At 41.3% G+C, this 13,633-nt stretch overlaps 3 annotated features.

Annotated features, from left to right (window-relative positions):
- Positions 5,486–6,362: an enhancer, noted in NCBI's record as "OCT4-NANOG-H3K27ac hESC enhancer chr2:157581637-157582513 (GRCh37/hg19 assembly coordinates)". NCBI's record gives its function as "activates a minimal SCP1, AML or CMV promoter by ChIP-STARR-seq in naive H9 embryonic stem cells {active_cell/tissue: H9 hESC(naive)}" and the evidence as "EXISTENCE:reporter gene assay evidence [ECO:0000049][PMID:30033119]".
- Positions 7,468–8,026: an enhancer, noted in NCBI's record as "H3K27ac-H3K4me1 hESC enhancer chr2:157579973-157580531 (GRCh37/hg19 assembly coordinates)". NCBI's record gives its function as "activates a minimal SCP1, AML or CMV promoter by ChIP-STARR-seq in primed H9 embryonic stem cells {active_cell/tissue: H9 hESC(primed)}" and the evidence as "EXISTENCE:reporter gene assay evidence [ECO:0000049][PMID:30033119]".
- Positions 10,434–10,981: an enhancer, noted in NCBI's record as "OCT4-NANOG-H3K27ac-H3K4me1 hESC enhancer chr2:157577018-157577565 (GRCh37/hg19 assembly coordinates)". NCBI's record gives its function as "activates a minimal SCP1, AML or CMV promoter by ChIP-STARR-seq in naive H9 embryonic stem cells {active_cell/tissue: H9 hESC(naive)}" and the evidence as "EXISTENCE:reporter gene assay evidence [ECO:0000049][PMID:30033119]".

Here is a 13,633-nt window from a genome sequence, read left to right as displayed (position 1 = left end):
TCAGGGTTAATTGCTAATTGATTTGTTATAGGTTCATCCCTTTATGTCAGTTCTGTCTACCACTTACCATAGCTGTCATCCCTTTTTCCTGGACCACTGAAAGAACATTACAATTGGTCTTCCATCTCTAGACTGGTCCCTGCCAATTTCTCAACACAGTCCTGCCAGTTATTTTCTATAGTATAAGCTGATAATGGCATCCCCTTGTGACTTCGTAACACTTTTAAGGTAAAATTCAAAATCATAAGCTTTTTCTTGCAAGACCCTTTACAATCTCTCTGCTCCCTATAGCTCTCATCTCCCAACACTGTTCTGACATGCATCTTTCCAGCCAGCCTTACTGAAAATCGTGTAGATCCTTGAATGCGTCATCTGGAATGGACATCTGTGCCTTTTTTCCTCCACCTGGAATGCTTTCTCCACCACTGGCATACCACGCACTTACAACCCTGCACACACCTTTTGTCTACTCAATTCCTACTCATATTCAAAAGTCACTCTAAGTGCTGCTTCCTCCATGATCATCCCTACTTGCTTCCGATTTAAAAGCCTTTCACCTTGCTTCAACAAGCACCCTTGAAATTTATCCCCTAGCATCAGTACTCAATACTCAAACAAGCAGTTTACATGTGTGTCTCCTCTTCTAGACTGCATGTTTCATGAGACAAGCACCAGGTATTCTTTTAGAACTGCATATTCCCAGTGCTAGTAGAGTGCTAGTCTCCTTGTAAATATTAAAAAAATTGTTGGGTGGGCTGCGCGTGGTGGCTCATGCTTGTAATCCGAGCACTTTTGGAGGCCGAGGCAGGTGGATCACCTGAGGTCGGGAGCTCCAGACCAGCCTGACCAACATGGAGAAACCCTGTCTCTACTAAAAATACAAAATTAGTCAGCTGTGGTGGCAAATGCCTGTAATCCCAGCTTCTCCAGAGGCTAAGGCAGGAAAACCGCTTGAACCTGGGAGGCTGAGGTTGTGGTGAGCCGAGATCATGCCATTGCACTCCAGCCTGGGCAACAAAGGTGAAACTCCATCTCAAAAAAAAAAAAAAAAAAAAAATTGCTGAATGAATGAAAGAAAAAAGGAAGGGAAGAAAAGAAGGAAGGAAGGAAGGAAGAGCTCTGGGTAACCCTCTGTTCACTCACCTTTAAAATCGTAGGGTCTCTTAGGGTACTTTGCAGTATGAAATTCTGTGATTACCACCTTAGATGTAAAAAGGAATTAAGTGAAAGATGCCTGAAAACTAATGGGATATCATATTAGTTTTGTTAACTAGTAACATTTAACATTCTTAAAGGACCTCAACTATGCTGAATATTCACCTCCTATTCATTATATTTCATCAAGATTGTATGTAGTAATCTATGTCCTAAGTAATTATGAGTCAAGTAATTTAAGTAGCATGAGCTAATTTTGAGTATTACATGAAGTATCACCTCTTAAACGTGTGACAGGGAAACTGTAGAGTCTCCAGTCTTTAAGGTACAACCAATTTAATGGTTTCAACTTTTAACCAGTGATCTCTTCTCAAGCAAAATCTGCTTATAGCAAATGTGAAAGTGATAAATATTTAATCTGTAAAACCCACCAAAGCAGTGTTGCTTGATTTAATGACTGGAGGGGTGGAAGGTAGCCTGAATTCCTGATGGTTATATTGCTGTCCTTTCAATGTCATCCTTGAGACTCCTCTGTTTGGGTGCTGAGGACTCGGAGCACAGTTTGAAAACCATTACAACAAAACAATTGTGTCTAACCCAACATCCTCAAAAAAAAGAAAATGAGATCCAGACGGTCGGTGATTTGCACAACATCTTCACCAATTAGTTGTATCCAAGAACACTGGTTGTCTCTTTTTGACACCAGTATCTGCAACATGGTAGCATGTATATTACTGGGGTCAAGTTAGGTTTCATGCAACAGTCACAGGGTTTATTAAAATCCCATAAAAGAACCTTGGCTCACCTTCTCTTCTTCCTATCTTCTAATCAAGCATCACTCCATAAATGAGCATATAGTTTGGCTTTTTACACGGGTGATTTGTGGTTCTTGGGTCTTATGGATTTAGGTCCTGTATAGCAGGTTTTCATTGACGAATAATTTTGTAAGTGAGTAATAATCATCATAAATGCCTGTATTATATCTCAGAAATAATTCCAGCTCCTGTCACATTTGTGGTCATAAGCAAGGCTTTACAACGGGATTCCTGGAACACCAGAAGTGGAATTTTAAGTGAAGTAGGAGTTCTATGTTGAAAGGTCACCTTTTCTTCATTGCTTTTAAATAAAGAGTTTATTGGTGTGGTCAGGTAGTTAATAATTTCCCGACCACCAAGGGGAGAGAGAAGTCTTATATTTTTTTTAAGTGCTTAAGTTTTTTAAAAAATATTTCAACCTTATTTTTCTTTAAAATATCATTTTATGAAGCTTTCATTGTATTTTCAGATCCATGAATTTTCTCTCATTGATTACACAAATCTTTAAAAAAATAAAATAAGAGAAATAATATCTACTACATCTTTTCATGATACTAGAAAGAGAAGTTTGGATAGCAAATATTAAGAAAAAATTATAAAGACATTTAACCACAAAATCCTGTGGTTAATCTTTATATTTGTCACTTTTCATCAAGCTCAGAGATTAGCAATCACTTCTAGAGGTTCTTAAAAGTATTTGAAATTGTAGGATCAGGTTATGTCTAACCCATTTTGTGGAAGCTGCCAGTCCTTGTGAATATGTGTTAATAATGACTATAGATAACATTTGTCTGTGCACCATGAGCCAGGCAAGTTCTCAATGTTTTTACATCTTCGACTAATTTAATCATCCAAAAGTTTCCATGAATTAAGTACTATTACTATTCCAATTTTAATAAAGAGAAGTCTAAAGCCCAAAGAGTTCATGCAATTTTCCTAGTATTGCATAATAATGGAGTATAGGGATCAAGGCACTCAGTGACCAATGTCGACATTCTTAAACACTATGTTACACTACATCTTTCTATTGTTTACATTGGGTAGAATCCTACAGAGGGATTGGAGGTTGATAAAAACTGTTGAGAAACTCTATCTTCCAAAACAACAAATAACCCTTGAATGGGTGACCCACAGGCTTTACCTGGGCCCCTAATGACCCAACAATCCATAGACCAACTATTGAAATGTATATTTAGGACAGTCCTCCTACCCATTCTTCTCTCCTCTTGTACCTTTTAAATAGATTTGGTCTTAAGGTACAGTGATTTGTGACTTGTCTTATCCTCCCTATTGTAAATTCTAGAAGGACAGCAATAATGTCTTATTTGTAGCTCTAATTCCTGCTTTATTAGGGACTATGCCTTATAGATACTGGAAAACTGAATTTTCCACTGAATTTTCCAGTAGAACCAAAGAATACTACATTCCTTGGCCAGGTGGTATGCTGGTAAATGTTTAACCACCAACTCTGGAGGAATTTTTAAAGTCCTGCTTTGTAGCATTTTCCATTTCCCATGGTGTAAATATGATTCCCATTACAAATTTGAATCTACTAACTAACATAATGTCCCTGAAAACAGGAGTTAGGGAGTTAGGAAGAGATGCTAACAACAGGCTCTCACCAGCTGCCAAGGAGAATGAAGGCACATGGCTGTGTTGGCCATTTAAAAACAATGTAAGTCCCACTGAAGAAAGTTGATGAAAAAGAAGAAAAGATAGGAGTAAATCTTGACTTCACAATTTCTACTAAACTGTCACGAACCACCCTAAGGTTGCATTAGTGGCTTCTTCTGTCACCTTCTCAAAGCACCTTGCAGACCATTCATCAAACTGTTAATCTTGCTGTCTTTTTACTTGTTCAGATTCCCCTAGTAGATTGTAAACTCTTTTTCTTTTTTTTTTTTTCCGAGACAGAGTCTCAAAGGGACTACAAGGAGATTGTAAACTCTTTGAGGGCAGAGATTATATTATTTTTGTTTTAGCCCCTGAGTCTGGCCCAAAGAAAATACAATTTTTTTTAATTACTGAATAAGTGAATGCTTGAAAAATTTGGTTCTACCACAAGAGATTGTATTCATTTCTTTATTAGCAATTAGAGGTCATGAGTATTCACCTGGATTTTGGCCTTAATGCAAAATTTTCCTGCTTTGTTGATTTATGGTTGATCTGTAGCATTACCCTTCAACATAGTTATTTGTAGTTGGTGATTAAGTTCTGTGGACTTGTGATTAAGGAGTAATTAATTTTCCATACTTAACAACACTAATGAAATTTCATGTGAAATGAAAAGTAACTACAGAATTAGCATTTGCATCTACTTAGCAGCTTGTCTTCATTATATAACAAACAGAAACAAAGTACTTCAAGTTCATCCTAGCCAAAGGCTTGAGAAGGGAATGTAAGGAGCTAGCTAAAGAGAGACAGGCGGGCAAGCAGACAAATAAGCAGAGAAGGCTAACTTAAATTATTATGGATGTATTTACAGAAATGGGTTATCAGTTTTAATGCAGATATACTGGATAATAGAAAAAATTGAATAATTTATCCAGCAATTTTCACATAAGCAATATTATTAAAATGAAGACATGAAGGAAGAGGTTATAGAGGAGAATATATAGAGGCCATGAATAAACGCATTAGGCAGCAGAAATTGTGAATTTTTAGTAGGTTTGGACTAGGTTTAAAAAAAAAAGAAAGAAAAAAGTACTTAATTTCTATGAAGTCTTAAAATATTTCCTGAGTGGAATTGCCCAGAGTGGGAAAGTTTATTCCCATCTTTTTATTGCCACTAGTGTTTTCAAAGACTAAAAGCAAGTCTTTGTCATTCTATATTCTGGAAAATATTAAAAAGAGTAACAAATTAGAGGGTGGTGATAGGGGATGGGAAAAGCTAAGGAAGAAGAGTGCTCGTAAGCCAAATAAATGTGTACATGAAGATAGCTATGAAGAGCCCTAAACTGCCCTGTGCTGTTTTGCACATTTAAGGAAAAAAAACCTTTTTTTTAAATACAGATATCTCATTTTCTCCTTAACATGTATAATTACATTAATGCCATTGTTATTTTTATTTCCATAAAATATTATTTTAAAAAACATACTGACCTTTAATCACAGATTAAAAAACAACAACATATTGCCATTTTCACAAGAAATAAACCTAGATGCTAGCTAAGCAGACTTGATTTCTTTAGAAGAGTCATAGTACATTCAGGCATAAATTCCTGTTAATAAGTGTTTGTTTTTCAACGGGATGGAGCCTCTCATTTAAACAAAGACAACTTTTACAACTTTAGAAACAGATGATCCCTCCAGTTAAGACTATTTAGGAAAAAAAGGGATTTTTTGAGTATTAAATCAATTTCAGCACAATACCTTCTAATAGCCAGAAATGTAATAAGCACTCCTGAAACCAAATTCAAAAGAAAGTGTCGATGTTCTTCTCTCGTTAGTGGCTGCTCTGTTTGAGGGGTATGTGCGCCTGTGTGTGTATGTGTGTGTGTGCATGCATGCACGTGTGTGTATTTCTTGCTAATTCTATACTATTGGATAAATGCAGATATATGAAAAATACATGTATTTGTCTTTGGGGTTTTTTTTGAACAATATTGCCTATGCTATTTAAATTATTGGAAATTGCAACTTTCTGTTTCAGTGAATTTTCCAGATATCAAGTGTCAGTCCTCTGAGCCCAAGCTAAGCCATCATATCCCCTGTGACCTGCATGTACACATCCAGATGGCCGGTTCCTGCCTTAACTGATGACATTCCACCACAAAAGAAGTGAAAATGGCCTGTTCCTGCCTTAACTGATGACATTGTTTTGTGAAATTCCTTCTCCTGGCTCATCCTGGCTCAAAAGCTCCCCCACTGAGTACCTTGTGACCCCCACTCCTGCCCGCCAGAGAACAACCCCCTTTGACTGTAATTTTCCTTTACCTACCCAAATCTTATAAAAACGGCCCCACCCCTATCTCCCTTCGCTGACTCTCTTTTCAGACTCAGCCCGCCTGCGCCCAGGTGAAATAAACAGCTTTATTGCTCACACAAAGCCTGTTTGGTGGTCTCTTCACACGGACGCGCATGAAATTTGGTGCCGTGACTTGGATCAGGGTACCTCCTTTAGGAGATCAATCCCCTGTCCTGTTCTTTGCTCTGTGAAAAAGATCCACCTATCCACCTACGATCTCAGGTCCTCAGACCCACCAGCCCAAGGAACATCTCACCAATTTTAAATCCAGTAAGCGGCCTCTTACTCTCTTCTCCAACCTCTCTCACTATCCCTCAACCACTTTCTCCTTTCCACTCTTCAATCTCTCCCTTCTCTTAATTTCAATTCCTTTCATTTTCTGGTAGAGACAAAGGAGACACATTTTATCCGTGGACCCAAAACTCCGGCGCCAGTCACGGACTGGGAAGGCAGCCTTCCCTTGGTGTTTAATCATTGCAGGGACGCCTCTCTTGATTATTCACCCACATTTCAGAGGTGTCAGACCACGCAGGGACGCCTGCCTTGGTCCTTCACCCTTAGCAGCAAGTCCTGCTTTTCTGAAGGAAAGGCAAGTACCCCAACCCCTTCTCTCCATGTCTCTACCCCTTCTCCACCTTTCTAGCAGGCAAGAAACCCCCAACCCCTTCTCCTTCACCCTGAGTGGCAAGTCCCACTTTTCTGGGGGAGGGGCAAGTATCCCAACCTCATATCTCTGCACCCCGATCCCTTATTTCCATGCCCCGACCTCTTATATCTCTGCGCCCTGATCCCTTATTTCTGCGCCCCAACCTCTTGTATCTCTGTGCCCCAATCCCTTATTTCTGTGCCCCAACCTCTTATATCTCTGCACCCCGATCCCTTATTTCCACACCCCGACCTGGTATCTCTGCAACCCGACCCCTTCTCTGCTTTTCTGGAGGGCAAGAACCCCCCACCCCTTCTCTGTGTCTCTACTCTTTTCTCCGGGCTTCCCTCCTTCACTATGGGCAAGCTTCCACCTTCCATTCCTCCTTCTTCTCCCTTAGCCTGTGTTCTTAAGAACTTAAAACCTCTTCAACTCTCACCTGACCTAAAATCTAAGCATCTTATTTTCTTCTGCAATGCCGCTTGACCCCAATACAAACTCAACAGTAGTTCCAAATAGCCGGAAAACGGCACTTTCAATTTTTCCATCCTACAAGATCTAAATAATTCTTGTCATAAAATAGGAAAATAGTCTGAAGTGCCTGACATCCAGGCATTCTTTTACACATTGGTCCCTCTCTAGTCTCTGTTCCCAATTCAGCTCATCCCAAATCTTCCTTCTTTTCCTCCCATCTGTCCCCTCAGTCCCAACCCCAAGCGTCGCTGAGTCTTTCTAATCTTCCTTTTCTACAGACCAATCTGACCTCTCCCCTCCTCCCCAGGCTGCTCCTTGCCAGGCCGAGCTAGGTCCCAATTCTTCCTCAGCCTCCGCTCCTCCACCCTATAATCCTTTTATCACCTCCCCTCCTCACACCTGGTCTGGCTTATAGTTTCGTTCTGTGACTAGCCCTCCCCCACCTGCCCAGCAATTTACTCTTAAAAAGGTGGCCGGAGCTAAAGGCATAGTCAAGGTTAATGCTCCTTTTTCTTTATCCCAAATCAGATAGTGTTTAGGCTGTTTTTCGTCAAATATAAAAATCCAGCCCAGTTCATGACTTGTTTGGCAGCAACCCTGAGACACTTTACAGCCCTAGACCCTAAAATGTCAAAAGGCCGTCTTATTCTCAAAATACATTTTCTTACCCAATCTGCTCCCGACATTAAATAAAACTCCAAAAATTAAATTCCGGCCCTCAAACCCCACAACAGGATTTAATTAACCTTGCCTTCAAGGTGTACAATAATAGAAAAACGTTGCAATTCCTTGCCTCCACTGTGAGACAAACCCCAGCCACATCTCCAGCACACAAGAACTTCCAAACGCCTGAACCGCAGCGGCCAGGCATTCCTCCAGAACCACCTTCCCCAGGAGCTTGCTACAAGTGCCAGAAATCTGGCCACCAGGCCAAGGAATGCCCGCAGCCCAGGATTCCTCCTGAGCCGTGTCCCATCCGTGCAGGACCCCACTGGAAATCGGACTCTTCAACTCACCTGGCAGCCACTCCCAGAGCCTCTGGAACTCTGGCCCAAGGCTCTCTGACTGACTCCTTCCCAGATCTTCTTGGCTTAGCGGCTGAAGACTGATGCTGCCTGATCGCCTCAGAAGCCCCCTAGACCATCATGGACGCCGAGCTTCAAGTAACTCTCACAGTAGAAGGTAAGTCCATCCCCTTCTTAATCAATACGGAGGCTACCCACTCCACATTACCTTATTTTCAAGGGCCTGTTTCCCTTGCCTCCATAACTGTTGTGGGTATTGACAGCCAGGCTTCTAAACCTCTTAAAACTCCCCAACTCTGGTGCCAACTTTGACAATACTCTTTTAAGCACTATTTTTAGTTATCCCCACCTGCCCAGTTCCCTTATTAGGCCGAGACACTTTAACTAAATTATCTGCTTCCCTGACTATTCCTGGATTACAGCTACATCTCACTGCTGCCCTTCTTCCCAATCCAAAGCCTCCTTTGCGTCCTCCTCTTGTATTCCCCCACCTTAACCCACAAGTATAAGATACCTCTACTCCCTCCTTGGTGACCGATCATGCACCCCTTACCATCTCATTAAAACCTAATCACCCTTACCCCGCTCAATGCCAATATCCCATCCCACTGCATGCTTTGAAAAGATTAAAGCCTGTTATCACTCGCCTGCTACAGCATGGCCTTTTAAAGCCTATAAACTCTCCTTACAATTCCCTCATTTTACCTGTCCTAAAAACCAGACAAGTCTTACAAGTTAGTTCAGGATCTATGCCTTATCAACCAAATTGTTTTCCCTATCCACTCCATGGTGCCAAACCCATATACTCTCCTATTCTCAATACCTCCCTCCACAATCCATTATTCTGTTCTAGATCTCAAACATGCTTTCTTTACTATTCCTTTGCACCCATCATCCCAGTCTCTCTTCGCTTTCACTTAGACTGACCCTGACACCCATCAGGCTCAGCAAATTACCTGGGCTGTACTGCCGCAAAGCTTCACAGACAGCCCCCATTACTTCAATCAAGCCCAAATATCTTCCTTATCTATTACCTATCTCAGCATAATTCTCATAAAAACACACGTGCTCTCCCTGCTGATCATGTCCGATTAATGTCCCAAACCTCAATCCCTTACAAAACAACAACTTTCCTTCCTAGGCATGGTTAGTGCTGTCAGAATTCTTACACAAGAGCCAGGACCGCACCCTGTAGCCTTTCTGTCCAAACAACTTGACCTTACTGTTTTAGCCTAGCCATCATGTCTCCATGCAGTGGCTGCTGCCGCCCTAATACTTTTAAAGGCCCTCAAAATCACAAACTATGCTCAACTCACTCTACATTTCTCATAACTTCCAAAATCTATTTTCTTCCTCATACCTGACGCATATACTTTCTGCTCCCCGGCTCCTTCAGCTGTACTCACTCTTTGTTAAGTCTCACAATTACCATTGTTCCTGGCCCGGACTACAATCCAGCCTCCCACATTATTCCTGATACCACACCTGATACCACACCATGACTGTATCTCTCTGATTCACCTGACATTCACCCCATTTCCCCATATTTCCTTCTTTCCTGTTCCTCACCCTGATCACGCTTGATTTATTGATGGCAGTTCCACCAGGCCTAATCGCCACACACCAGCAAAGGCAGGCTATGCTATAGTACAAACCACTAGCCCACCTCTTAGAACCTCTCATTTCCTTTCCATCGTAGAAATCTATCCTCAAGGAAATAACTTCTCAGTGTTCCATCTGCTATTCTACTACTCCTCAAGGATTATTCAGGCCCCCTCCCTTCCCTACACATCAATCAAGCTCAAAGATTTCCCCTGCCCAGGACTGGCAAATTAGCTTTACTCAACATGCCCCAAGTCACAAAAACTAAAATACCTCTTAGTCTAAGTAGACACTTTCACTAGATAGGTAGAGGCCTTTCCTACAGGGTCTGAGAAGGCCACCACAGTCATTTCTTCCCTTCTGTCAGACATAATTCCTCAGTTTAGCCTTCCCACCTCTATACAGTCTGATAACAGACCAGCCTTTATTAGTCAAATCAGCCAAGCAGTTTTTCAGGCTCTTAGTATTCAGTGAAACCTTTATATCCCTTACAGTCCTCAGTCTTCAGGAAAAGTAGAACAGACTAAAGGTCTTTTAAAAACACACCTTACCAAGCTCAGCCACCAACTTAAAAAGGAATAGACAATACTTTTACCACTTCCCCTTCTCAGAATTCAGGCCTGTCCTCAAAATGCTACAAAGTACAGCCCATTTCAACTCCCGTATAGATGCTCCTTTTTATTAGGCCCCAGTCTCATTCCAGACACCAGACCAACTTAGATTGTGCCCCAAAAGACTTGTCATCCCTACTCTCTTCTGTCTAGTCATACTCCTATTCACCGTTCTCAAATACTCATACATGCCCTGCTCTTGTTTACACTGCCGGTTTACACTGTTTCTCCAAGCCATCACAGCTGATACCTCCTGGTGCTATCCCCAAACCACCACTCTTAATTCTTAAAGTAAATAAGTAATCTTTACTGGAAAGGCTATGCTGAACCTCCTTAGGCACTCTCTAATTAGATGTCCTAGGTCCTCCCAATTGTTAGTCTTTTAATACCTGTTTTTCTCCTTCTCTTATTCTGTTTAGTTTTTCAATTCATACAAAACTGTATCCAGGCCATCACCAATAATTCTAAATGACAAATGTTTCTCCTAACAGTCCCACAATATCACCCCTTACCACAGAATGTTCCTTCAGCTTAATCTCTCCCACTCTAGGTTCCCACACCGCCCCTAATCCGGCTTGAAGCAGCCCTGAGAAACATCGCCCATTATCTCTCCATACCACCCCCCAAAATTTTCGCCGTCCCAACACTTTACCACTATTTCGTTTTATTTTTCTTATTAATATAAGAAGAAAGGAATGTCAGGCCTCTGAGCCCAAGCTGAGCCATCATATCCCCTGTGACCTGCATGTACACATCCAGATGGCCGGTTCCTGCCTTAACTGATGACATTCCACCACAAAAGAAGTGAAAATGGCCTGTTCCTGCCTTAACTGATGACATTGTCTTGTGAAATTCCTTCTCCTGGCTCATCCTGGCTCAAAAGCTCCCCCACTGAGTACCTTGTGACCCCCACTCCTGCCCGCCAGAGAACAACCCCCTTTGACTGTAATTTTCCTTTACCTACCCAAATCTTATAAAAACGGCCCCACCCCTATCTCCCTTCACTGACTCTCTTTTCAGACTCAGCCCACCTGCACCCAGGTGAAATAAACAGCTTTATTGCTCACACAAAGCCTGTTTGGTGGTCTCTTCACACGGACGCAAGTGAAATCAAGTATTTATGTTTTTGAGCACCAAATTGCTTTTCTTTAATAAATGTATTCGTATATCTAAAACATTTTAAAGTCCCTGCTTTCCTAAGCAGAATATATATAATATAATTGAGGTTTTGACTCCCCATCAGTGTCATTAATAATAATGCTTACTGTTTAATGCTGCCATACAAGGATACCTCAAGACCCACTAAATATACTGGGTGTTTTGGTTCTAGTCTGAGGGACTCCAAAATTCTATATGTTTTGAGCGGTTTACTAACAGTTTTGTCTGCTGATAATAATACTCTCTTTATCGTTATTTGTTCTCTGTTAAGGCCTAAAACTGAATCATCATATTTATCAAAATGGTGCATATTAAAAATGCAAAGTAGATTTTTGTTTAAATATTCTAACATCCCTTCCTTTTAGTTTTTTTGTAGTGATCGGGTCTCTCTTTTTTGCCAAGGCTGGTCTCGAACTCCTGGCATCAAGTGATCCTCCCACCTGGACCTCCCAAAGTAATGGGGATTACAGGCTAAAGGTATAAGCCACCACACCCAGCCACCACACACATCTCTTGACACTAAGTTTGGACTCACTTTTTTTTTGTTGTTGTGATTAAAATAAACAAGGTATTTACAATACTTACATGTGAAAAAATGAGGTGCTGGATATTTTGGGAAGTCATGAAGATCACTAACAATATAAAAAAACAAAGTTCTGAGAATCTGACTCAAAGATAAAAAGTTTATTCTAGGTCCACTGGGTATGCTGTTGGTTTCTCTTGTCAACTGACATCTCGAGGACAGATGGAAATATTTCAGAGACTGCTCTTTTATCTCAGAAAAACTGTGAGTGCTCACTCGCCCCACCCTTGGGCCTTCTCCTTCCCTCTCGATTTCATATGCATGCAGCCACCTCCCCATACACATCTCTTAAGGCTTTTCTGATAAGGAGGGGTGTTCTATCCATGCATCCTTTTTAAAAATAATAATAATAATAATAATAATAATAATTTTCTTGATTGTCTACCCAAGGTTCCTTCTGCATTTCAGGCCACATGTGCAATACTAAGCAACAGACATAAAATCATGACATGTTCTGAGTGAACTGAAGCTGCTGACCATCTACCACTTTCTCCTCCGCCAGCTGTAGTTTCACGACAAAGAAAGATGAAAATTTACCAAGCAAAAGATCTCTTTTAGGCCACAGAGATTTAAGGGCAATTGTAAATATTTTTGTTCCATTTCTTTGGTTGAAACCCATTTTATACCTGAAACATTAATAAAAACGTATTTAAAGATAGACTGACTACATATCTTTTGAGAGCAGAAGGAGGAAATCTTAATAATAATGAAATGGGCTTCAGCCCTCGGGCACTGGAGAGTCCATGCCAACCGGGAGTGGAAGGGATCCCTCAGCACACCACAACATGGCCAGACTGCTTCTTTCTTTCTTAATTTTATTTTATTTTAAGTTTGGGAATACGTGTGCAGGACATGCAGGTTTGTTACATAGGTAAACATGTACCATGGTGCTTTGCTGCACCTATCAACCCATCACCTAGGTATTAAGCCCAGCAAGCATTAGCTATTAATCCTAATGCTCTCCCTCCCGCAACCTCCCTGACAGGCCCCAGTGTGTGTTGTTCCCCTCCCTGTGTCCATGTGTTCTCATTGTTCAGCTCCCACTTATAAATAAGAACATGTGGTGTTTGGTCTTCTGTTCCTGTGTTAGTTTGCTGAGAATAATGGTTTCTAGCTCCAGCCATATGCATGCAAAGAGCATGATCTTGTTGTGTTTTATGGCTGCATAGTATTCCATGGTGTATATGTACATTTTCTTTATCCAGTCTATCATTGATGGGCATTTGGGTTGATTCCATGTCTTTGCTATTGTAAATAGTGCTGCAATGAACATGCGTGCATGTATCTTTTTTTTTGGGAGGGGTGCGGGGGACAGAGTCTTGCTCTGTCGGCTAGGCTGGAGTGCAATGGCATGATCTCAACTCACTGCAACCTCCATCTCCCGGGCTCAAGCAATTCTTCTGCCTCAGCCTCCCGAGTAGCTGAGATTACAGTCGTGTGCCACCATACCCGGCTAATTTTTGTATTTTTAGTAGAGATGGGGTTTCACCATGTTGGCCAGGCTGGTCTCGAACTCCTGAGCTCAGGTAATCCACCTGCCTAGGCCTCCCAAATTGCTGGGATTGTAGGCATGAGCCACTGCTCCCGGCCGTGTGCA

The sequence above is a fragment of the Homo sapiens genome, chromosome 2, assembly GCF_000001405.40.
Source record: "Homo sapiens chromosome 2, GRCh38.p14 Primary Assembly".
NCBI lineage: Eukaryota > Metazoa > Chordata > Mammalia > Primates > Hominidae > Homo > Homo sapiens.
This window is presented reverse-complemented; position numbering and strand designations above follow the sequence as displayed.